Raw genomic sequence first — 23,268 nt, 5'->3', positions numbered from 1 at the left:
TACTAAGAGGGGGATGGGTCATAGATTTCTTAGAGTGGGGCTGGAGCTGGCATCATTTAATTGCCTTTCCACTTTGTTTAATGGGGTTTGCTGGTCTGTCTGACTGTGCTCAGATCTATGTAGGTGTTGATGAAAACAAGGGATGGCTCATTGTTTTTCTCTGTGAAAGGCAGATGTTTGATTATGCCAAGCTGATAACTACTGACTTCACTGGAGTCTCAGGAAACTATGTCTGACCAGAATGTGCTAACTGGCCCTTCAAACTTGCTTCTAGATGTGCTGTTAATATTTATTGAAACTAGTTTAAAAGAGGAAAAACAAAAAATAAAAAGATCACATCCCCAATTGATATTTCTTTGTCCTTGCCTTAATAACTGTGAACTGTTGCTCTTTATGCCTAAAAGGGCTACAAGGAATACATCTATCTAATTTCTGTAGGTGCCAGGGTAGATTAGAATTTAAGGAAGGGAGAGTGAGGTGGGAAAATGTACACACTACAGGTAACCTCAATTCCTTCTTCATGAGTTCTAAGGGCGATGTTAGCCAAGGCCAGCTAGCTCGAAATGTATGTTTTTGGTCCCAAGGAAGTTTGAACAAAAAAGGATAACTCTTACAGTAAATACACAGCACACCATTGGAAATCTGTGTATTCTACTGATGAGACATTTAAAGACCAGCTTGTGGCATATCTTCATGTTCACTTACTCACAGTGTCCTAATGTATACACCACTCCTCATTCCCTACTTTTCTGTAAAATGAAAGGCAGAAGTAGATTTGCCTGAAGTCACATCAAAATGAACCCTGAAGTCTTATTATCCATATTGGAAGACATTGGAATGACAATGGAATTCTTGGATTTAGGCCTAATCTTACCTGTGTTCACATCCTAATGTGCAACCACCATTAGCAACCATGTAACCTGAATGCATTTTCCTCTAACCTCTGTTCAATTTTTCTATTGTTAAAGTGAGAACAAAAATATTCACTCAACAGAGTTGTGTTGATGTTAAGCAAGTTAATTTGTATAAAGAGCTTGTAGTACAATACTTACTGGATAAACTCCTGTTTATATTATCTTACTAGTCCCCCTCACATCCAAGCCAAGACAACTCTGTGGATAATTTTATTTCCATATGCAATTCCTGGGACAGAGAGAGGGACTCCGTGACCACTAGAAGATAAACTGGATCATGCAGCTGCTCCAAAGGAGTAGAATCTTTACATTGACCACCTCAGGAAAATGTCTTTCTTAAGGTTTCAACATGTATGGAAATACTGCTCATGAATCCTAGAGCTAAGTCCACATTTGGGTGATTTGTGTAAAACTTTTTTGTTCAGTATACATCGGCTAAGGCCTTGGAGGAATGCTCTGATTTGTCAGATCGCGAGAATACTGTGAAGGATTCTCTCTATGAGCTGATACCCCCGGACAGGTTTGTACCTCTCTGCTATCACTGATTACTGAACTCATTTGGGCCTAAGAGTTTGTTGGCTTCTTATGCCTAACACCACTAAGTGCAGATAATCCAGGCCTGTGTGTGTGTGTGTGTGTGTGTGTGTGCATACACGTGTGCTTGCCTGCCCAGTGCAGATTCCAGAATGTGCATATAAGGGCATGGGGAGAGATGGAGATAAACTCCTCCTTATAGTCTTTCTTTTTCATTTTTAATTTGTTAAAACGAAGAGGCACCATCTGGCTCATACATAAGTGGTATACAGACGATTTACAAAGGTGAACTGCCTAATTTCCTGTTACACATTTAGAGAGAGAAAACAAATGTTCCCACACCAGAACACCAGAGCGATTTGTTCTCTCTTCTTAAGACATTCACAATGACAAACACCTTTTCCTTCTGTGAATCACTGACTCAATGCTTCCAAGATTACCTTTACACTGGCTTTGACAAGGGTAGGCTTTGGGTACCATTATATCTTTCTAAGAACATCAGAGAACACTAAGAGATTGATAGTCAAATCTAGTATTAAAGTTTTGAATGTCCTGAAGGGGAGAAGGTTGAGATTTCAGAATACAGATGTTTTCAGATGTTTTGATTTGGGGAGAGGAGTCAATACACTGAGATCAGGGAGGAATGGAATGAGGGGGGAATGGGATCCTACTAATGTAGAGCTCCAGGAGTGTTCCTTTCTGTTCATCCTGCTGTCCTGTGTGCCTGTGTGCTGTCCTGTGTGACAGTACCTGGCACTTGTTAGGCACCTAATAAAAGTATGAATGAGTGAAGTCAGAAAGGGAATTTAGAATTAGGAAATAGGTCATTCCAGACCAAGAGAAACCTAGACAGATAACCAGATGCTCACTTAGGGGAGGTGAGCCTTTGGAGATGATGTGGAATGCAGCTGCAGGCAGCAGGAGCAAGTCTTATCTAATCAAGCAGTGCATTATCCTGGGAGAATGTTCAGAAGAGGCAAACGAGTGATAGTCTGAGTCAAGGATGACCCACTTCAGGTTCTGGTAGGAGACAGAACAGAGTGTCTAGGACATGATGGGGTAAGTATGCTAAAATCCTGTGTGTTTATGACACACAGGTGTGGGTCATAAACAGGTCTGGCAGCAGGTAGTAAGGCACTGGATTCTAAGCTGGAGATTCTGGGTCAGGGTTCCCAGAAACTCCTAGAAAGACAGTAACAGTAATCCTTAGGAAGTGGGAATCATTTAGAACAAGCCAACCTTACTGGAAGAATATTTGATTTTATGGATGTCTTGGTGTCCCCATAGCAGATGAAAAGTTGTAAGCTCTTGGACCCACACTGCCTTGGTTTGATCTCTGCTCCTATAATTCCTGACTGTATGACCTTCGGCAAGTTACTTGCCCTTTCTGTGTCTTCAACTGTAAAATGGAGCCAACATCCCCTATCACACGCATTTTCTGTAAGGACTAAGAGTTAAGAAATATAAAGCTCTTAGGATGATAAATAATAAATATTAATTATTGTCTTAGTCTGTTCTGTGTTGCTACAACAGAATACCACAGAATGGGTAATTTATTAAAGAAAGAGATTTATTTCTTATGGTTCTGGAGGCTAGGCAGTTCAAGATCGAGGGGCCTCATCTGGTGAGGGCCTTCTTGCTGTGTCATAACATGGCAGAAGACATCACATGGCAAAAGACCAAGAATGGGCCAAACTTGCTTTTATAGTAAACCCGCTCTTGTGATAACAAACCCACTCTCATGATAACAACATTAATCCATTCATGAGAGCAGAGCTCTCATGATTAATCACCTGTTAGAGGTCTCACCTCTCAACACTGTTGCATTGGGGTTAAGTTTTCAACAGAGGATCTTTGGAGGACACTTTCAAACCCTAGCAATTATTGGAGCTAAAATATGAATGCTTTCTCCAATTCCAAAATGGACAAGGCTTACCTAGATATATTAGTTAAGGTAGGCCAACTGCTGTATCAAATAGATACTCAGATATATAATGGTTCCAACACAAATAGAAGCTCATTTCTAGGTCATCTAACAGTATGAGTAGGTGAATTCACTGGAGGAGTAGTCCTCTGCTACACCATCATTCAGGCTCATGGAGCTCTACCCTTTTCCTTGTGTGGGGTCCTTCCTTGGTCATGCTAGGCATCTATCTATGTCCCAACCAGCTAAAAGGAGAAACTGGCATGAAGGAATGTGTGTGGGATGTTGTTAATAGACCTGGCCTGAAAGTGGGGACTAATCACTTTCTTTCATGGCAAGAACCCAGTTATATGACCTTCCTATTTAAAAAGGTGGCTGAGAAATGGAACATAGCTGTGTCCCACATAGAAGAGAAAAAACATGAATTGTACTTCATAGCTGGCAATCTCTGCCAGAGTTAAGGATGAAGAAAAACTACATTGTTTTTCCACATTCCATCCCAGCAGGAAATCATCCCATATCCACTGATTTATCAGGAAAGATAGGCCAAGCCATTCTTACTTTGTATTGCTACTCTGAATGTGGAGAGAGTTATTTTGCAAGATCCCCTTTTCTATTCTCCTTGCAAACTCTTGGTGTCCCATGCTTTTGTAAGCAATGGAAGAGCTTGGTCCCACCTGCCATCTTGGTGCTTTGATTCATCCTCCAGGAAAGCAGAAGAGTAAATTCAAGAAACTACATCCTATGAATTGGGTGGAGGAAAGAAACAATGTTCCAAATCAAAGGGAATGTAAGTTAATAGATAAGAAAACACATCTAGAAGAAAAACAGGGAAGAAATACAAATTAGAGCAACTTCTATTCCAAATCCATGGTAGTAAAGGAGGAATCCAGAATATGTCGAAATTCTAACTGAAGCCGTCCAGTATTTTCTAAAGAAGGGTTACATCCTTGACTAAAAGCCTGTATTGTTTTCCATCAGCAGGTCAAAGGATGGGCTTCAGAAACTCTAAGACTTCCTAAAATTATATGAGTAATATTGAGTGGGGTGTTGTATTTCATTTTTTGTTTTTTGAAGGTTCAGGGCTTTTAAGAGGATCCTAAAGATATTTATGGCCCATTGACTTTACTGAAATGAATTTCCCAGCATGTCAGTCCTGAGAGAACAAGACAGAGATCCAGGGACTGTAACAATATGAGAGCTCTGGAGGGCAGCCCCCTCATTAGTTTAATGGGAGGACCTGAGGTGCAGCAAAGCTGAGGCTTTATCAGATGCTCTCTAAGGTGCCTTCCAGTTTTATGATCAACAAGAACATTGACTGATTACTCAGTCACCAGAGCTGAGAGCCTGAGGCTCCTCTAAGTCTTTTTGACCAGTGAGTTCTTGCCTTCAAGTCGGGAGAAACTCTCAGATGAAAGTCAAGTGGTTGGCAGTGTACTGAAGAGAGCCAGTGGTCTGTGAGATAACTTGGTTTTAGGTAATTTTAAAGGTAAAAACAAAAGCTAATGATGGTAATTTGAGGCAATTGACTTTTAGGATCACAGGGTTCCACCATGCTTTCTGCTCTTCGTTGGAACTTTGGGAATCTCATTTAATAAGTGGTACCTCTCTTCTCTGCCCAGATGATGTGTTTGAGCCCACTGAGGCTGAGAAGCCAGGCAGATGAAGATTATAAAGTACACTTGAATAATGATAGAATTCTTACTGATGGTGATTTCAGTGTGCAGCAACAATAGTTTTTTTTTTTTTTAATACCAAGTCCCCTAATCTTTATAGCAAGATTAGGCATTCCAGCTCAGTCATAGCAGCCTGGAAATATTGCAGACTTTGCTCTGCAGAGGCAGAAGTTTTGCTGCTCATTGCTCCTCTTTGTAGGGAGAAGATACTCATCAGAAAAGGGAAGGGGTTGTGGCCCCATGCGCAGTCCCCAAAATCAGACAAGCTTTTTCTCCCAAGAGGTGAGATTAAGACTGGAGAGCTCTCTGCATTAGACCTGTTACTCCAATAAGGTGTCCCTGTAGTTGGAAGCCTGAAACAGTGCAAAGAGGAAGGGGTCCATCACAAGTCTATTCATGTCCACATAGGCAAGCAGTTGCCAGCTACACTCAGAATCATATAGTTCCTTCCTCTGAGACCAGGAGTAGGGAGGCTTGACCCCTAGCTTAACTGGTGATAAAGGATTAGCAGCTAGGCATACTGGTTCTTGAGGGATGCTGACCCTGTTTGGAGAGGGCTTATCCAGATTTGTCCCTTTGGTTTTAGCCATTAGGTACTCCTAAGTAGACCCAGGCACCAATGAAGAAGTGATGCTGGCTGTCAGGAGATGAGGTTCTTGTACTGGTTGTCCAGTGACCAGACTCTGTTTATTGTGTTTGATTCTTCCTTTGCTGTTTTTGAAATATCGTAATCATTCTTTAACCATCGTCCTATTTATATAGAGGAGAACAATGGAGGAGCGTTGTATTCCATTCCCGAGGAAGTGGTTTTCCCAAATTTTTATAATAAAATTTTATTTGAGAGTAATTTTAGATGTACAGAAAAGTTGCAAAAATAGTGTAGAGAATTCCCATATATCCTTCACTCAGTTTTTCCTCCTGTTGGCATCGTATGGAACCAGGGTACCTTGGCAAAAAATAAGAAATTAACAGTGACACAAATTATTAACTAAACTACAGACTTTGTTTGGATTTTACCAGCTTTTCCACTAATGCACATTTTACTGTCTCAGGATTCACTCTGCGATACCAAACCAGTCTTACTTAAGGGCAGTGGAACTACCGTGGTCAAAGCAGGGGTGAGGGGATGGATCCCCCATTGCCCACAGTCTCTCCTTTGATACCCTATGCCCTCGATGCACCCTTAGGAGCCTCCAGGATTCCATGGTTCAATTTTCTGCAACAGAGATAGGTGGGCTATAAGACCCCCTCCTGCAAAACCAGTCCCAGAGGTGCTGAGAAACCCTATTTTGTGAGCAAATTATAACTCCAGATTCTTACAAGAATCTTTTAGAACTGTGCAGTCTGGGGCAGCCATCTTCATATAGCAAGTGGACAGGGCTGGAGTTACTGTTCTCTGCTGGAGTTTAGGAGTCTAGAGGAAGGTATGGGATCTTCTTAAATTCCCAGCCCTAAACCATGCGTTTGTTCTCTTCTTCAGCTTTGGGAGAGGGTGCTTTGTGCTAATCAGGAGACGTGGCCACAGACTGGAGAGACTTCCAAGTGGGGCTCAGAGCTTTAGTTACCTGAGCATCTGCTGTAGGACTGGGTGTCGTGATATGCACATCTCAGGTGAATTTTGAAAAACAACTTAAATGCTAAGACCTATTAAGTTGTACAGAGCTGCTGAGGGAATGAACACAGAAGGAGGTGTGTGGGATACATTTATGCTAATTATAAGTATTACAACCTTATTTCCTTGATTAAAGCCAGTGGATCTGCACACTAATTATCTACAAAATATCAGTCACTTTGGAATACAAAAGTCTGTTGAGGGACAGGGCTGAGATTTAGGACATCTTGGTCTCAGTGTCAGTTCTGTGTCCAGGTTCCAAATCAGAGATTTCACTTTCATCTCTAAAATCTGGAGTTTGGATTCCAGCCATATGATCTCTTTGGGGTTTTGCCTTCTGTTGAACTAAGTTCTGTGTGTAATAATAAGTGAGAAGAAGACTTGATTTTTTTAGGATAGGAGGGGGACATGGCCAAAGGTAGAATAATAACGTCAAAGTTGTCTTAACCAGTCTGTACTGTTGCTTTGACCCTAGACCATAGCTCTTCCACATCTCAGCCCCGTTTTTTCCTTCCTGATAAAATAAAAAAACAAACTCCAGTTTTGAAGCAGACTCTTCTACATTACCTGGATCTAGTTTAGTGACTGAAGTTTAATTTCTGCTCCACCCTCTTCTTCTTCTTTGAGATATTGAGGATAATTGTCCAAGATTCACCCTGGTGGGTAGAAGAATTACCTGAACAGAATTTCTTTGTATTTTTCCAAGGATGAGGATTATCTAATTATTGCTATCATCTTTGCACTCCTATACCTCCACCCTTTCTAGAGCATTTTATACTTTATTTCAATATGGTGGTAATGTTGGGGACATCTACCTGCAACTCAGGTATTCTGAAAAGTATAGAACTGAATACAGAAAAGAATCTGGTATTTTCCACCCTGGGACACTCCGGCAATCTGGAGAGAAGATGACGTGGAGAGGGCATGATGACCAGGAGGTTGAGGTGCAAAGAACCGGGCTCTAACAATGAAGTGATGAAGTTATTTTGTGAATTCTCCCTGCAGTGGCCTGAGGATATTAGTCCTGGGAAGTGCCCTCCCATTTTTGTTTTTGGGCTCTTGGCAGCCAGTGACAAATGTGGGAACTAGAATGCAGGAGTAGAAGCCAAGAAGCCTAGATTCAGTCTCTCTGCCATGACTCCTGACATGGAACAGATCCCTTTCTTGCCCAGGACCTGAGTTTCTCATTTGTAAAGTGGACATTTCTCATCTTTCTTCTACACTGTGTGAGGCTTTTCATCTTTTCACAAGTACTGGCCACACCAATAGCATTATTGTCTGCCACTGCATGGAAACTAGGTTGAGAGTTTGTGGGATGTACTCAAGTTTCCTTTTTAGATACATCCATGGCTTTACTGCTTTTTTTCCTGGACTGGGACTGAAAGAACTGAGTCCCAGTTCAGTCACTCGGTTTCTTTGATGACATTGTCTTTAGATCAGTGTTCTTAACCTCAACTCTAGTTAACACTTCCCTCTCATGAGGTTAAATTAGATGCTTAGTTTCCAAACACATTTGCACATTTGCTAACCCTGTCCATGTTGGTTTATTTCCTACCCTCATACCACATTCCCTAGCCATTCGCAAGATCCATGTGTGAGGGATGGGATTCAATTCAATTCCTTGTCCATGTGCTAAGATGAATAGAACACAAGGAAATAAAAATCTCATAGGGAATATAAGAACAGATAAAAATGTGTTGCTCTATCATAAGCCAAAGGGAGGCAAATTGTATAAAAGGCAGTTAAGAATGTCTAAAGCTTATCTAAGTAGAGGAATGGCATGGGTCTTGAGGGGTTGGTTGGCAGTCTGGATTAAATTTTAGGAAGATATCTCCATCAGAGAGGTTAGCATGAGCAAAGTCATGGAGGAAGCTTGGAGGTAAGGAAACCAGAAGAATGATCTAGAACGGTGTGTGATTCAACTGGCCGAAACTAAGGATCTATGGAAGATGCATGGAAAGAAATGTTGGTAAAGGAAAGACCACCATGGCAGCTTTTGAAAGGCCAACTATTTTGGCTTAGGTAGTCAATGGACAGTCACAGAGGATTTGTCATCTGTTGAGGTGTGAATCAGGTCATGTGTAAGGACAATTCATAAGGCAGTGGCATGTGGGATAGATTGCTGGAAACTAAGACCATAAAGGCAGGCCATTGCACTGGCCCAGGAAAGAGGCAGTGAGATCCTGTGCCACAGTGGTAGCCATAGAGTATGGAAGAGAAGCCATTAGAATCCATGGGCTCAGGACTACGAACTGGAGACTGGCTGGTCCCACAGGCTCAAAGCCACTTGCAGTTTGTAAGGGGCAACTATGAAAACAAACAAACAAATACAAAACAAAAAAAAAACACAAAAAAACAGTGAAATGGAGGGTCAGGATGTGTCTTCATCCATTTTGAGGTGCTATAAAAAACACTTGTGGCTATGTAATTTATAAAGAAAAGAGATTTGATTGGCTCATATCTCTGAAGACTGTGCAAGAAGCATGGTGCCAGCATCTGCTTCTGGTAAGGACCTCAGGAAGCTTCCAATCATGGCAAAGGAGGAGCAGGAGTGTCACATGGTGAGGGAGGGAGCAAGAGAGAGAGGAAGGAGTGGTGCCAGACTCTTTAATGACTAGATCTCATGGGAACTAAGATGAATAACTCACTTACTACCTGGAGAATGGCACCAGGCCATTCCCTCAGGGATCCACCCCCATGATTCAAACGCCTCTCACCAGGCCCCACCTCCAACACTGGGGATCAGATTTCCACATGAGATTTGGAGGTGACAAATACCTAAATAAACCAGGATGGATTTTTAAATTGCATCTTTTAGGCCACCAAGTCCATTCTGCATCCTTAAAGTGTTAGAAACAACGGAGCAGATGCCAAATCATTCAATTTTAAAGAAATATATAGCTGGAAGGAGCCTTAAATGTCATCTATTTCACCCTTGAGGGACCAGGCAGAATAGCATCAAAATCATCCCAGACAGATGGTTTGCTCACTCTATTCCAGTGCATCTTCTGGGATTCCACAGGTTTCCTTCCTTATTCCTTTCAGCTGTGGGAGAGGGAAGCTATTTTCAGTGAGAGATTTGTCTTTTTCTTTCTAATTATTAACATTCTTTAGAAGTGGGAAGTTCTCAGTTGTGTCTAGCGAGAATCCTACCTGCTACAAGGTAAGTATGTTTCATCCTATGTCCTTAGTGGAGATAAATGTGGTTTATGTTATAAAACAGACATTATAAGACTCAGAAAAACTAAGAAGAACCTCAATGTGACCAAAATGGCCCTGTGGCCAGGTGCGGTGGTTTGTATCTGTAATCCCAGCACTTTGGGTGGCCCAGGCGGGGGGATCACTTGAGGTTAGGAGCTCGAGACCAGCTTGGCCAACATGGCAAAACCTTGTCTCTACTGAAAATATGAAAAATTAGCTGGGCATGGTGGTGCATACCTGTAGTCCCACATGCTTGGGGAGGCTGAGGCAGGAGAATCACTTGAACCCAGAAGGCAGAGGTTGCAGTGAGCCGAGATCACACCACCGCACTCCACCCTGAGTGATAGAGTGAGACTCTGTCTAAAAAAAAAAAAAGCCTTGTGCTTTTCATAGGTAATTGGTTATATTTTATGCATTGTTTGTATCTTGACTGGTGGGAAACCAGTGGAATAAAAATATTTAGCCCCCTAATCCTGCCAAAAAATAATAACCTATTTCTGAGGGTGGTTTCTAGTTATCTCCTAAACTTAGTCTCTTCTCTCTGCAGTTTAGAAATCCAGTTGTTTTCTTCTCTCATTGAAGGTTGTGCAGGCATGAGGACTGATACTGGGGAAAAAAGACGGGGAAGATGCCCCATAAGAAAATTCTGAGACGTTGAAGCATGCTTATATTGGATTCTGTCCTCGGGAAAGGAGAGGAAAAGGCTGAAGGAGACCATTGAATCTGGTGTTGAGTCATTCACGTCTCTCTACTCCTGTGGAGGGCCCTTACGGATGTGTCATAACAGGATCTCCTTTTCCTTCCTCAAGTGCAAAAGGCCTTTTTTTTTTTTTTCCTGAGACAAACTGAATATATAACATAAAAAGATACATAAATTTCCATACAGATATCTTCTTTACTAGCTGTAATTAAGATATTTGCAAGTAAAGAGAATGTTGTGTTCCCTTGACTTCCTCCTGGTAGGGAATTGTATTTCTCTCATAATCCTCATAGCCCAAGATTTTGTGATCTGTCAGTGTCTAAACGGAAGGAGGAGGAGGAGGAGGAATCAGAAGACTGGGTCAATACAAAGCATCTGAAATTCAGAACTTCAAACACAGTTTTTACTCTCGGTTGTTTTTTTCTAGGCTTTGCTAATCCCAAAGAGCAAAGTTGGAGGTAGGAAAGTTGATAGCCCAAGAGCAGATGGGCCGAGCACCCACTGACATTGCAGTCAGGCAGATATTCAATTGAATCACTGAGCTTCTGCTGAGAGCTATTTGGCCTTAGGAAATTTACTTAAATTCACTAAGACTTAGATTCCTCATCTGAAAAAAAAACAATTTCTTCTTTTGTGCACATTAAATAAGATAAGTATTCAAATTGCCAGTACCCATTAGGCACCCAATAGATGGCTATTATTCTATGTAAAAGAATAAGGTAGAAATTATATATCAGAAATTTTAAACCATTTTAAGTTACAAGCCAAGGTTTTCCCTATGATGGATCTTTATTGCTGGATACTAAATTTAGAGAGGAGAAGAACCTACTCAAGAGAATTTAGGGAAATTTAAAATAAAAAAAGCCACCCACTCCTCCAGGACTGGTTTAGACATTTGAGTTGATCTGTTGGAAGCCCAGGAGGAAAGAGAAAACACTTTTAGGCATCTGCAGGAAGAGCTTTTCTATTGTGGAGTTAGTAGCTACAACCAGGAGCTAATTTTTGTAACTGTGGACCATGAATTCTGCAGTAGACAAAGGTCTTCAGAATTAAAACCTCCTTCTCCAGATGTCCTTAGTGTGTGCTGTCCCTCATCATCCCAGAGGGAGAGCTTAGGGTGATGCACCTGTCCTGGAGCCTTGGGGATAGAGAAAAGACTGGCTTAAGTCCAGCTCTACCTCCTTTCTCCTTTCATTGGCTATATGATGGTTACTGCTTATTATTATGCATAGCATGAAATATGCAAGTGTATATGCATATGCATAATGGATGTGCAAGTTCTTTGTAAACTGTTGGTTTGAGTGCTGGTGGTTTTGTCACCACCACCACCACCATCACCACCCCCATCACCAGCATCATCACCAACACCATCACCACCACCACCATCACCATCATCACCATCACCAACGCCACCATCACCAACATCATTACCAACACCACCAACACCATCACCAACACCATAGCCACCGCTGTTATCACCATTATAGTCTGTGCTTAGTAAATAACCATGTACACCCTGGAAAAATAAATTGAATCCATCAATGTTCCAAAGTTGACTGGTAGGTGGTGGTCTGTACTCCAGCTCTCCAACTCTGCCAATCATCACGACAATCTTGGTTGCCTTCCTCCATTGAGTCATGCTTTCCAGCCTCTTCAGCCAGCTTGGAACTTTGATTTGCAGCCCGGTTTGTTCTTGTAGTTGGTCATTTCCTTACCCAGTGGGTCAATCCCCAACTTCCTGATCTTTGTATTTATTTTTTCACATCCTGAGACACTTGGGTACATGTTTGTTCCATACCTCAATAAAGCATAAGTTCCCTTGAAGGCAAAGGAGCTCACCCACGTTTAGCACAGTGATTTCTACATTAAAAATGCTTAATAAAAGTTACTTAATTAAAAAATACATAATACTATATTAGATGTTTGTAATGGGAAAAGAGTAATGTCCCCACTTGCCTAAATCTTCTTACATGAATCCTCATTGGTTCCCACTCACTGGGCACCAGTGGTCAGTATGTGGGGACTCTGAGTATGCGTATTTGAAAGATGCACTGGTATCACCAAGGGAAAGCCAGCTGGATCTGATTCCCTGCCAATGGCCCTGACATCTGACATCTGCTTATCAGTGCAGAGGACTGGAGAAGGTCTCACAATAATTAAAATACCCATAAGAATGGAGTTAGCACCAAAAGGAAATTTATTATTGCACACAGAGAATCACATTATTCAAAGGCCATAGCATCAAAGCATTTGTTCTCAGTGAGCTAGTCCATGTGGGAAGCTGGATCATAATGTGAAAGTTGCTTAAAGAGGAAGAAATCAGGGCAAGGATGTTAGAAGAGTCAAATAATCAACGACATCCAGCTAAGAAAGCCTAACAACAGGGTTCCTGGCTTCTCAGCAGGTTCAGAAATACTCCATGTCTTTTGCCTAAATCCTCCTCTCTCCCTTGTCCAGAGCCAGGAAGGGATGAACATCTCCACCATCCAGTTCCAAGGCTCATTCTTTCCCAGGCCTCCAGGATCAGCCAGTGCCCCATCTGAGAGATACATTATTTCTTCATCTGTATCAATCAGGGCACAATGCAGCCATGATAGCCTAAGAGCCACTCAAGATTTTTCAGACAACCTTGGATATACATCCATGTTTTCATTCATTTTCTGCTGATCGTAAAGAGGCCAATTGTATTTTCTTCATTTTCAAATGTTTGGGAGCCACTTTATTACAGCCCCTAATGCTTCCCATGTCACTGAATTGCTTTCACACCTAAAAATGAGTCCTTTTGTTGCTTGCAAATCTTATTGCCTTGATACCTAGTATTACATGCCCCAGGGAGGGTACATATTAATAGATTTCAAGTGCCTGTTCTGATTGACTGGTGATTGCCCAGAGTGGAGTGATGAGAAGAATTTGGTGGTTGCATCTAGGATCAGTGAAAAAGTGGTGATCAGCTGGTGACATCTGCCATGAAAGTAGAAAAGAGGATTGGTGGCACTTGTGTCCTGTTCTGACACATGTCATCCTGAGCAGTGCTCTCAATTCAGGGATTCTGCTGGACCCTGTTAGGCATGCTCTAACCTTGGATTCACACAAGTGGAGGGATTCTAATGTGACATAGATATTGAGTTTATTGAGTGCACCTGTGTTGAAGGATCATATTCAGAGAAAGGGGTTTGCCAGGCGGATCTGCTTTACTGGGGCTAATTTCCCCATCACATAAATGAGACTAGCATCCCCAAATTCTGAATTCTCTTCTACTGGCCTTTCCCTCACATTTCAACTAAATAGTTGGATTTTTTCTTCTTTTCTTACAACTTGTATATAGCAAAAGTGCCTTGTTTCTGGGTAGATTTGATTCCCCTTTACACACTGCCAAGGTGTTTAGTAGTCTAGATACAGCTTTCCCTGCCAGCTCTATGCCATCATCTCTGAGCCAACTTTTATCAATGTAGCAGCAGGATCTTGAAGCATATATATATATATATATATATATATATATATATATATATATTTTTTTTTACTTTTTGAAAAGTTGAACAGCCCAAGATCAGGGTTTGCCGCTAGAGTTCTGCTCCCAAGCAGACATTGATTCAATTATCAACATTCTCTGGATATGGTCTATGCATTTTTATTACTCCACCCAACTGTTTTGTAAGTATTCTATGAGAGACCTTGATAAACGTCTGGATGAAATTTGGGTAAGCATCTACACTGGCAATCTTGTGAAATCCTGACTAGAAATGAAGTTGGAGGTCATCTTTCAAACCCACTTATTTGACAGGTGAATACATTGAATGCCAGCCAGAGAGAGAGAGAGAGAGCAGATGTCCCTCAAGATCACACACCTAGTTAGTGGTAGAGTGAAGACAAGGACATTCTTCTCCCTTCCTGTGAATTCAGTGCTCCTCTCTAACCACCATCAAAGTGCTATGAGGTCAATGGGCTGGCATGATTCTCCCTATTTACAGACAAGTAAATTAAAGCTCAGAGAGATTAGTGATCAATCCCCAGACTGTACAATAAATGAGGGGTGGAATTGGGTTTGGTGTTCTGGTTAAGTTAGGTTTTTCAAGGGATGAGAGTTTACTTGTGAATAGAATGTTTAAAGAGCACACCAATACAGCACAGTCTCCATGAGGTTAAGTAGAAGTGTGAGCTTGTAATAATTGAGTTCCATGATCTATTTTTCTAATAAGGCTTTGTGGCAAGGCCATTCAAGGCAAAGGAGGAAAACAGGATGACCCAAGCCTAGTCAACGCAGCAAGCAAAGATGATTTAATTTAGAGATTTTCGGCTCTCCAATGTAATCTTAAAGCAACCAGCAGCAACGTGATTTGAGGTGATTGTAGTCTGTAAAATGTAACACAGATTCAGTGAAACTGAAGGGCGAGGAAGGAATATTAGAAGCAAGGGAGGTGGTGCTCAGAGTTGAGGAGTATTGTCCTATTGCCTTGAAATGTGTTGCAAGAAGTAATTGTTTTAATGTTTATTGTGAAAATGTATTCTCAAGAACTTTGATTGACACATAATCATTCACAGTAGCTTAGAAGTTCTTTAAGGGCAGTATTCATGCCTTATTTCACTGATTATATAACCCTTGTACCTAGGACTATACATGATATATGGTAGACATTTCATAAATGTTCATTAAATGACATAAACCAGGAGACAGGTGTTCTTCTCAGCGAATGACTGATCTGGGATGATGCTTAAGGACCCTAATTTGGAACAATCAGAGATCACAAAGCCAGGTTTCAGTACAGAGATGTATGCAAGGGTTGTCCTCCATTATTTTGGTGCAATGAGTGGGCTCTGCAATGTGTTCCTCACCCACAGGGGTGGCAAGATTGGAAAACGCTAGAGATAGTTGACACCTGAGGGTGGTGAAGCACAGTGCTGCAGGAAGTTACCCTTATTGTGTGAAAATGGAACAGACCGTCCTACAAGATAGTGGGTTCTCCATCCCCATTGGGTTTCTAGAAAATCCTTAGAACCACATTATACAGATGCCTGTGCTGGACATGAGGTTTCAGAAGATGATCTCAAAGTTTTGCTTTTCTCTAATTCTGAGATCCTAAAAGCCAACTCTACAACAGAGATTGCTTAGATAAGTGCAAAGTGGTAGAGCAATTTAAGGACTCATAATTATGTACGTGCAAGGAACTGTGTCAAGTATATATTTTCATGATGCTATCAAATATTAAGCCAAATTCACCCTCTGCATATCTACACATTCACAGCCTGAATCCTTTCCCACTTCGCTCATACCTCAATACCTGTCACTTGCCCTGTCTCTTGTCTCTCCCTGTGACTGTGTTTATCTTGCTCTGAAGGCTTTCTTGAGGCATTTCTCCCTCCTTTCAACTCTAAAAATCCACAATCTATCCTACATTAAAGAAAAATCTTCATTTGACCTTTCTATCCCTTCTAACTTTGCCTGAATATTGAAATAAGTACTTTTCATCTTCTGTCTTAATTTTTTGGGCTTCTGATCTTACCACTGAATTGAATCTGCAGTTTTGGGGTCACTAATTATCTCTCACGACCAAATTTAAATTTCTTACTTCAAGTCTAACCCTTCCTGAACTATTGTTGAATGACATTATTAATAATTTACCCTTTCCCCTGCACCCCCTGCAACTGCCAGTGATGCATAGTATTCTTGTTGAATGCCTCAGTTATGCTTTGTTCCACAAGTTATAACCATTCCTGGTCATTCTTTCCCTGCTCCATTGGTTTCTCTCCTTCCTCTCATTTTAAGTTTGGGTGCTGCTATTTTAGACATCTGCTTTGCAAACCTCATGCACTCACATGGTTATAACCCCTTTTTACTTTTACACAGAATCTGTTTGAAATTTACATTTGCAGCCTCCACTTCTTCTCTCTTTGATTGCTTAATCTGTAAGCCTCCCCTGGAGAGTTCACTGGAGACTGAAACACGGCATGTTTTAAATAAAACTCACCATGGCCTCCTCCTGCTTCTCTGAGTGCTAGCACCTCAGCAACCGTTAGCATCCGTGAAAACTCTCTTGGGAGCTTCCCAAAGGGGAGCCATTTCTGAACCTGTCTCTTTATCACCAGCCTGCTATGTCTTTCCTTATAGCACCTCAGTGCCACTTTTTCTTTGCACGTTGGCAGGAGCTGCCCGGGTCCATGCCTGGTCAGTCCAAAACCTGAATCCACGCACACACCTTCAGGCTTGGAGCTCTTCCCCCAGGGCTCCTCGAACTTCCTCATCCCTCCTGTGTTTTTGGAGCCTTGTGTGAGTAAATCTTCATTTCACCAAAATATAAATTTCTTGCCCTGGCCTACTGGGTCCTGAAGCCCCTGCCAGTCTCCTTCCTGACCTTCCACAAGAAGCCCCCTTGGCTCCATCCCAGCCAGTCTGTCCCCGGTGGCCCAGCGCCAGTTGCTTATTTCCACCTTTGCATGAGGCCCTCTGTGTTCATTTGTTCGGGCTGCCATAGCAGTGCTCCACAGACTGGGGGCTTCAACAACAGAATCTGATTTTCTCACTGCTCTGGAGGCTGGAAGTTCAAGACCAAGGTGCCAACAGGGTTCATTCATTCAGAGGCCTCGCTCTTTGTCTTGCACATGGCTGCCTGCTCACTGTGTCCCCACATGGTCATCCGTCTGTGTGGTTTGTGTCCTAATCTCTTCTTATAAGGACCCCAGTCCTATTGGATTAGGGCCCACCCTACAGACCCCATTGAACCTTAGTTACCTCATTTAAGGCTCTCTCTCCAAATACAGTCATATTCTGAAGAACTTGGGGTTAGGACTTCCCCATAATGAGCATGTGTTGGGGGGCACACAGTTCAGTCCATCACACCTTCTCTTCCCAACTGCCCATCTGTCCTTTCTTTCATCTCCGTCTTCTTTCTTTCTGTTCGTCCCTCCCTGCCATCAGCACTCAGCAATCCCCATTTCATTGTCTTCACTGGATGGTCTTTTCAGCCTCACCCTATGAGTTTGTGCACAGGGACATGTTACTTCATGAATCTGCCTCTCCTCCAGGTCATTCCAGTGCTGCTTCTCTGCCTCTGACTCAATTGAGAGCAGAGACTGTGTCTCTTGTCTCTTGCACACAGCCCTTGACTTGGAAGCACTTGAGAAATGCCATTGCTAAGTTACTGTGAGTCCCTCCTCATGCACCCCCCTCCTCTCACTTCTCAGGAGCCCTTTCAAGGGAAAGGCCTTGCTTAGGAGCTTTTTTCCTGAGTGGTGAGGGGGAACACAAATGTTAACTCCATGGACAGCAAGGAGGAGGAGGGCTGAGGCTCCATGGTGGTGACATTCAGTGAGTTAACCTTTCTAAATCAGGAAGGAAAGGAGAGGGAATCTGGGTAGCCCTAAAAGCAGTGGTGAATTCAGGGATTTTCTGCGGGACACACTAAGAGCAATAATTCTCTCAGAAGCTTTGGAGAAAGCGCTGTTTCTTTGACCTAAGGGGCTGAAAATTCTAGATAGAACCCACTTCCTCTCCAAGCAGTAGGTTGGCTGGGAGGCTCCTGCTGGGAGTAGAACCAAGCTCGTGGAGGGAAGCCCATTGCGTCTTCATGTCCCACAGAGGAAGACAGCTGGGTGTCATGTGCTGGGAGTGGTGTCATGATGTGCTGGTGGAGCCCCGAGTGCCTTGTGTTTCTGGGCGGACTCCAGAGTAAGGGCCTTGAAGGTGGGTTGCTGCGGTCTTCCGCTGTCCTCCCTAATGATGCAGGACAAATGTTTGAGGCCCTGCCCAGGAGAGACACGCCATTCAGTTAAAGATCCCCCTGCTTTCCTCATGCTCCTCCTTTCATCCTTCCATGCTTCCTTCCTCTCCCTTCATCCCTTTTCTTCTCTCTCCCCCTTCCCACTCTCTCCCCTCATTCACTGTCAGGAAGGGCCATGCCAGAAGGGCCCGTTCAGTGTGGTGTGGCAGCGGCAGAGGCTAGCAGCAACGGCAGCTTCCACAGTGAGTCTGGATTTGATTTCTGGGGCCAGGGGGCTGGGCAGGGCAGTCCACACACAGACAGACAGCTTGCAGGCTTTGGAGAGGCACTTCCATGGGCTGGGGCCTGCTTCCAACCTCTTTTTCCTTGCCTCCCACCGTGGAGCATCATTTAACTTCCATGGAAGTTTCCTGCCAAAGCCATTGATGTGCTTGGGATGTCTCATGGGGAGACAGCATGGTGGGGGGTGGCGGGCCATAATCTGCTAAAATTAGGTGCACAGCCGGGAGAGCCGCTGGAGTTCACATGGCTGCCAGGGCTTCTGTCCAGACCTGTGCGTGTGGTGGAGGCTGAAGGCTCTGCATGGACGAGTGGTTTGGCTGCTTTCTTGCATTTCAGGAGGTGTGACCTTGAGTTTTGAGTACACTTTGGGTGCTTACACTCCATAGGAGACTCCCTGTAAGGAAATAAGAATGCCCTAATTGCACAGAGTAGAGGGTCTAAGAACTGGAGGTCTCCCCATTGACCTCAGATGAAGCGTGGTCTAACAGACCTGATGCTCAGGATGGTCACTACAGATCCTCTGTGACTGAGTCAGATCCCCCAGTGCTTGCAGGGAGGCTTTTGCCCTCCCCATTTTAATTTCTATGGTAATTTCTGGCAGGGAGATGGACATACTGCAGAGTCAGTCGAAGTTCCATCTGTCTTACCTTGATCATCAGACTGTATTGGATGACTTCCTTCCACTTTTTGCTTGGGGGCTTTTTTCTTCTATTTGGGAAACAGTTCACTTGGGAAAACAGAACCACAGAATTCACCTACTCAGCCTTAAAGATCCATCCCAGACTAAGAAGACACAAGTTCTGCTTGCCATCTTGAGAGGCTTTCCACAGGCCAGAGGCTGCTTCCTAACACTGACAGGGCGTGCGGTAGTTAAGTCAGTTTTGAAGTGAGAAGCTTCTGGTTTCTAATATACAGTATTATCCTGATACTGCAGTCTTATGGGCAGGTGCATGGGAAGGAAGGCTTTTACAGTTTCATTCATTTCTCTCATAATTTGGTTAGGGAGGTAAATTAAGCATAACCTCCCAGGTTCTCTCAGGATCAGTTTTATAGGTTTCTCTTCTTGACACTGCTCCTAATAACAGCATGAAAGTTTAAGATTTTCAGTACTAACAAGTGTGTATAGCTAGGGTATTTCAGAACAAACATGCTTGGCAGCCTTATGAGAATTTTGCAAGCAGAACCATTATAGAAGATTAATCAATCTCTTCTCATGCTTTTAAAATATTGTATGTATTTCAGTCGCATCGGGTTCAAACTCTTGGTTTTAGGAACTGACAGGTTGCATTAAAATATCAAATTGGTCAAATTTATTAATTAATTTCAACAAACATTTAATATTAATCAACTGTGTATGTTTGATTGTCTAAAGTTGGACCCTTCTGAGAATGAAAAGGGAAGTTATTAATAATTAAATAGGAGCTACAGGCATAAATTTAGACCTTTCTTGGTAAATTGGGGCATACAGTCATTTTATCCATGTATCCTGAGTTATTGTTGGTGCCAGTGATACAACTGTGAGTAAAACAGACAAAAATCGCTGCCCTTACTGAGGGAGATAAAAAAATAAAGATAAAGTAAAGTATATAGCAAATTAAGAGTGATAGGTTCTTAAGAGAGAAGGAAAGCAGAGAGGAGAAAAAGAAGTACTTGGTGGTAGTAATAGTGGTGGTGTTGGTGGTGGTAGTTAGTGTTGTGTGTGTGTGTAGTTTAGGTAGGGACGTCAAAGCAATCGCATTGCTTAAAGAATACGAAATATTTTAGTTTATTTAGTTTCTCCAAGGAGGGCTTTCATGACTCAGCTAAAACTTACTGTATGGATGAAATCGTATCTGAAAATTCTGAGTCCAAATAAAGAAATACTCACAAACTTCATAATGACAGAAAGCAAAGAGAGAAAACCAGGTGGCTGTGGCACTGGAAGGATACCTTGTCTGCTTGATGGTCAGCACGGGTTTCATCTCCCTCTGACACCACTGAGACGGCATCAGAAAGTGAACATGGCTGTGGATTCATCTATTTGGGGAGCATCTTTGTAGAAAGTCCCTTAATCTCTGACTTGTGCTGGCCATTCAGAGCATCTTAAGGCCCTTCCTTCTCCCATCTGCCTTTCTGTGGGGTAACGGAAGGGCAGCTTACAGCTGCTGAACACCTGCTCTAGCCAGGCACCTTGATAGGGGCTTTGAGTAAATTAATTTGTTTAATTTATTCTGTTCTCATGAAGACATTATTATAGTTCCACTTTGAGGATGAGAACACTGATGTTTAAGCTCAGAAATAGAAAATAGTGGAGCCAGGATTTAAATCCAGGTTGAATTATGTCTGAAATTCTGCCTTTATCAGTTAGCCTCAGCATCTTTCCACAGATACCAGTTGGCAGGAAGTGGAAGTAAGAAAAGGACTCACTGGGTGACCCGAATGTCCCATGTGTGGGCTGATTTGCATGGCTGGATCAGGAGCAGTAGATGTGTTGGGGTGGTTGTCCATGTCTTTGCTGATTGCGCATGAAGGCACAGCAACTTCTGCTGCTTTGTTTTTTGAGTGTTGTCACTGGAAATGGGGATGGGCATGGGAAATTTTGGGGGCATGAGAGTAAATCTTCCTGTGTGGCTTCCATCCTCGGCTGAGGTGGAGGCTTAACTTCAGTGAGTCAGTGTTCCTGGGGCTCACGCACGTTGGAAGGAGGGACCATGCATGGTGTCTATGTATAGATAATAGAGGTGGGGAGAATGCATGCAGAGTGCTGAGACTGAACAAAGGTTTTTCGACAGGGGTTTGAGCGAAGAGTTGAGTTTGAAGATAATCCTAAATTTCCTGTCTGTCTTTTGTGAATGGAATCCACAGACTGACCTCATCCAGTCTTAGGATGCTATTAGCAAGAAACAGGATGTCTCTGGACCACATCTCAGATATGATGGTTATATTTAACCTAAATATCACTGTGTAATGTTGCATTTATTTGTGGTATACTTTCATATATTTCCCAGAAAACAAATAGGTAACCTGTTGTTTTACGCATAATATGGTAACCTCCTGATAAGGTTATGTTTCAAGCAAATCACCATTTAGATGCGGAAGAGAGACCTGCTACAACAAAGTAAAGAATTACTTTGGGATGCCAATAACCCTCTCCAGTTTTCTTTTTGTGATAAAGTAGAAGATTTTCTACCTGTGATGCTATACTTTCCTTGGAGTTTTAGAGCATATTTATCCCAGGGTCTCTATGCATGTCAAGACAATGTTTCTTAGTTTCACAACATGTGTCATAGGGGTAGAGAGAAGCCATACTCTTGTCATTTGGCAAGGATTTTCTTTTTCATTACATTGTTACCATCACAGAAATATACTCCAAGCACTGGGATGTCCCTCGCTGTGGTCTTCTAACTATTGGGTAGGGTTACCTCATCAAGTTTTGGTTCTTTACTGCTTTTAGGGACCCTTGTCTAGTTTCCCCCGTCATTTTGATACTTGAGGGCTGAGGAGGAAAGCATCATTCATCTTCCTCCATAGGATACTCCACTTTCACTTATCTGAGTTCTCCCTCTGGTAGAAACAAATAAGCAAGCAAATTAGCTTTTCTTCTAAAATATTAACGCATCTCAACACAGTTGGCTTCTCTCTTCTGCATATGTGTGCTCTGTGGAGTCCCAGCTGGGAATCAGGGTAAAGATGAGAAGTGTCTGGTTATATTTCAAACTGACAAGGATAGTCATTCTTTTTCTGGTTACATATGGGCCGCCCTGCCACTCACACATACAAGATATGTCTTAATTCCAGAAGGGCTTAGCTGAAGCTTAAAAGAATAATACCCATGCCTTAGACACAAGTCTGCAAGGGCACCTGGTCATGAGTGTGCCTCGGTCTGGGAATCTGCTTAGAGACTTGGTCATAGATGCATCCTTTACAGCAGTACGCCGGGATTTCAGGGGTGAGATGAACCTAAGAAAAAAGATTCAGAGAGATCCCAAAGGCCCATATTAAAAGGCTTATTGTGGCTGGGCGTGGTGGCTCACGCCTGTAATCCCAGCACTTTGGGAGGCCGAGGCGGATGGATCATGAGGTCAGGAGATCAAGACCATCTTGTCCAACATGGTGAAACCCCGTCTCTACTAAAATAAAATAAAAAAAAAATTAGCCGGGCGTGGTGGCATGTGCCTGTAATCCCAGCTACTTGGGAGGCTGAGGCAGGAGAAGCACTTGAACCCCGGAAACTGAGGTTGCAGCGAGCTGAGATTGCGCCACTGCACTCCAGCCTGGCAACAGGGCAAGACTCCGTCTCAAAAAAAAAAAAAAATGCTTATTGTAGTTTCATTCTAGCAGGGCATGTCTTGGTCATAGACAGGTCCTTTAAAGTAGCATGCTGGGATATCTCCCCACCCAAACAAACTTAGTATTTCTAAGGAACCTAAGGACACACACCTGTTTATTTCCATGTCCAGGGTACACAAGGAGAGCATAAGACAAGCTTTGTTCACCCCTCTTGGCATGCGAGTGTTTTCCAGCCATCACTGAGGTTGTGGAGAGGGTCTGGTTGCAGTGAAGATGTCTATAAGCTAGAGATTATTCTAAAACCCACTAGGACTTTCCCAAAGTCAAACACCAATGTAGTTTAATGGTTTTGAAATTGTGGAATGTGGTTTCCCCCCTTTTCATTGCTATCCCAAGTCTTGTGATCCAAGATCATTAAGACTGGCCTTCTGGGGAAAACCAATA

The 23,268-nt window shown here is 42.7% G+C and overlaps 1 protein-coding gene across 18 annotated transcripts in view; it reads left to right on the top strand.

The window, feature by feature from the left end:
- The window catches only part of NTRK3 (neurotrophic receptor tyrosine kinase 3), a 396,989-nt gene that overhangs the window by 329,736 nt on the left and 43,985 nt on the right, over positions 1–23,268 (top strand). For 2 of the 18 annotated variants that reach the window (XM_006720545.5, NM_001320135.2), the window contains exon 16: positions 10,444–10,742. The exons of 14 other annotated variants lie outside the window; for them this stretch is intronic. In XM_006720545.5, the coding sequence (XP_006720608.1) occupies positions 10,444–10,458 (15 nt within the window). In that variant the 3' untranslated portion in view covers positions 10,459–10,742. Of the gene's footprint in view, positions 1–1,339; positions 9,977–10,443; positions 10,743–18,440; positions 18,516–23,268 lie in introns of those variants that run through there. 2 more of the 18 variants (XM_017022254.3, XM_017022242.3) reach the window with 2 other exon arrangements.

This window comes from Homo sapiens, chromosome 15 (assembly GCF_000001405.40).
Source record: "Homo sapiens chromosome 15, GRCh38.p14 Primary Assembly".
In the NCBI taxonomy this organism is placed as follows: domain Eukaryota; kingdom Metazoa; phylum Chordata; class Mammalia; order Primates; family Hominidae; genus Homo; species Homo sapiens.
The sequence above is the reverse complement of the archived record's forward strand: the minus strand, read 5'-3'. Positions and strand labels throughout refer to the sequence as shown.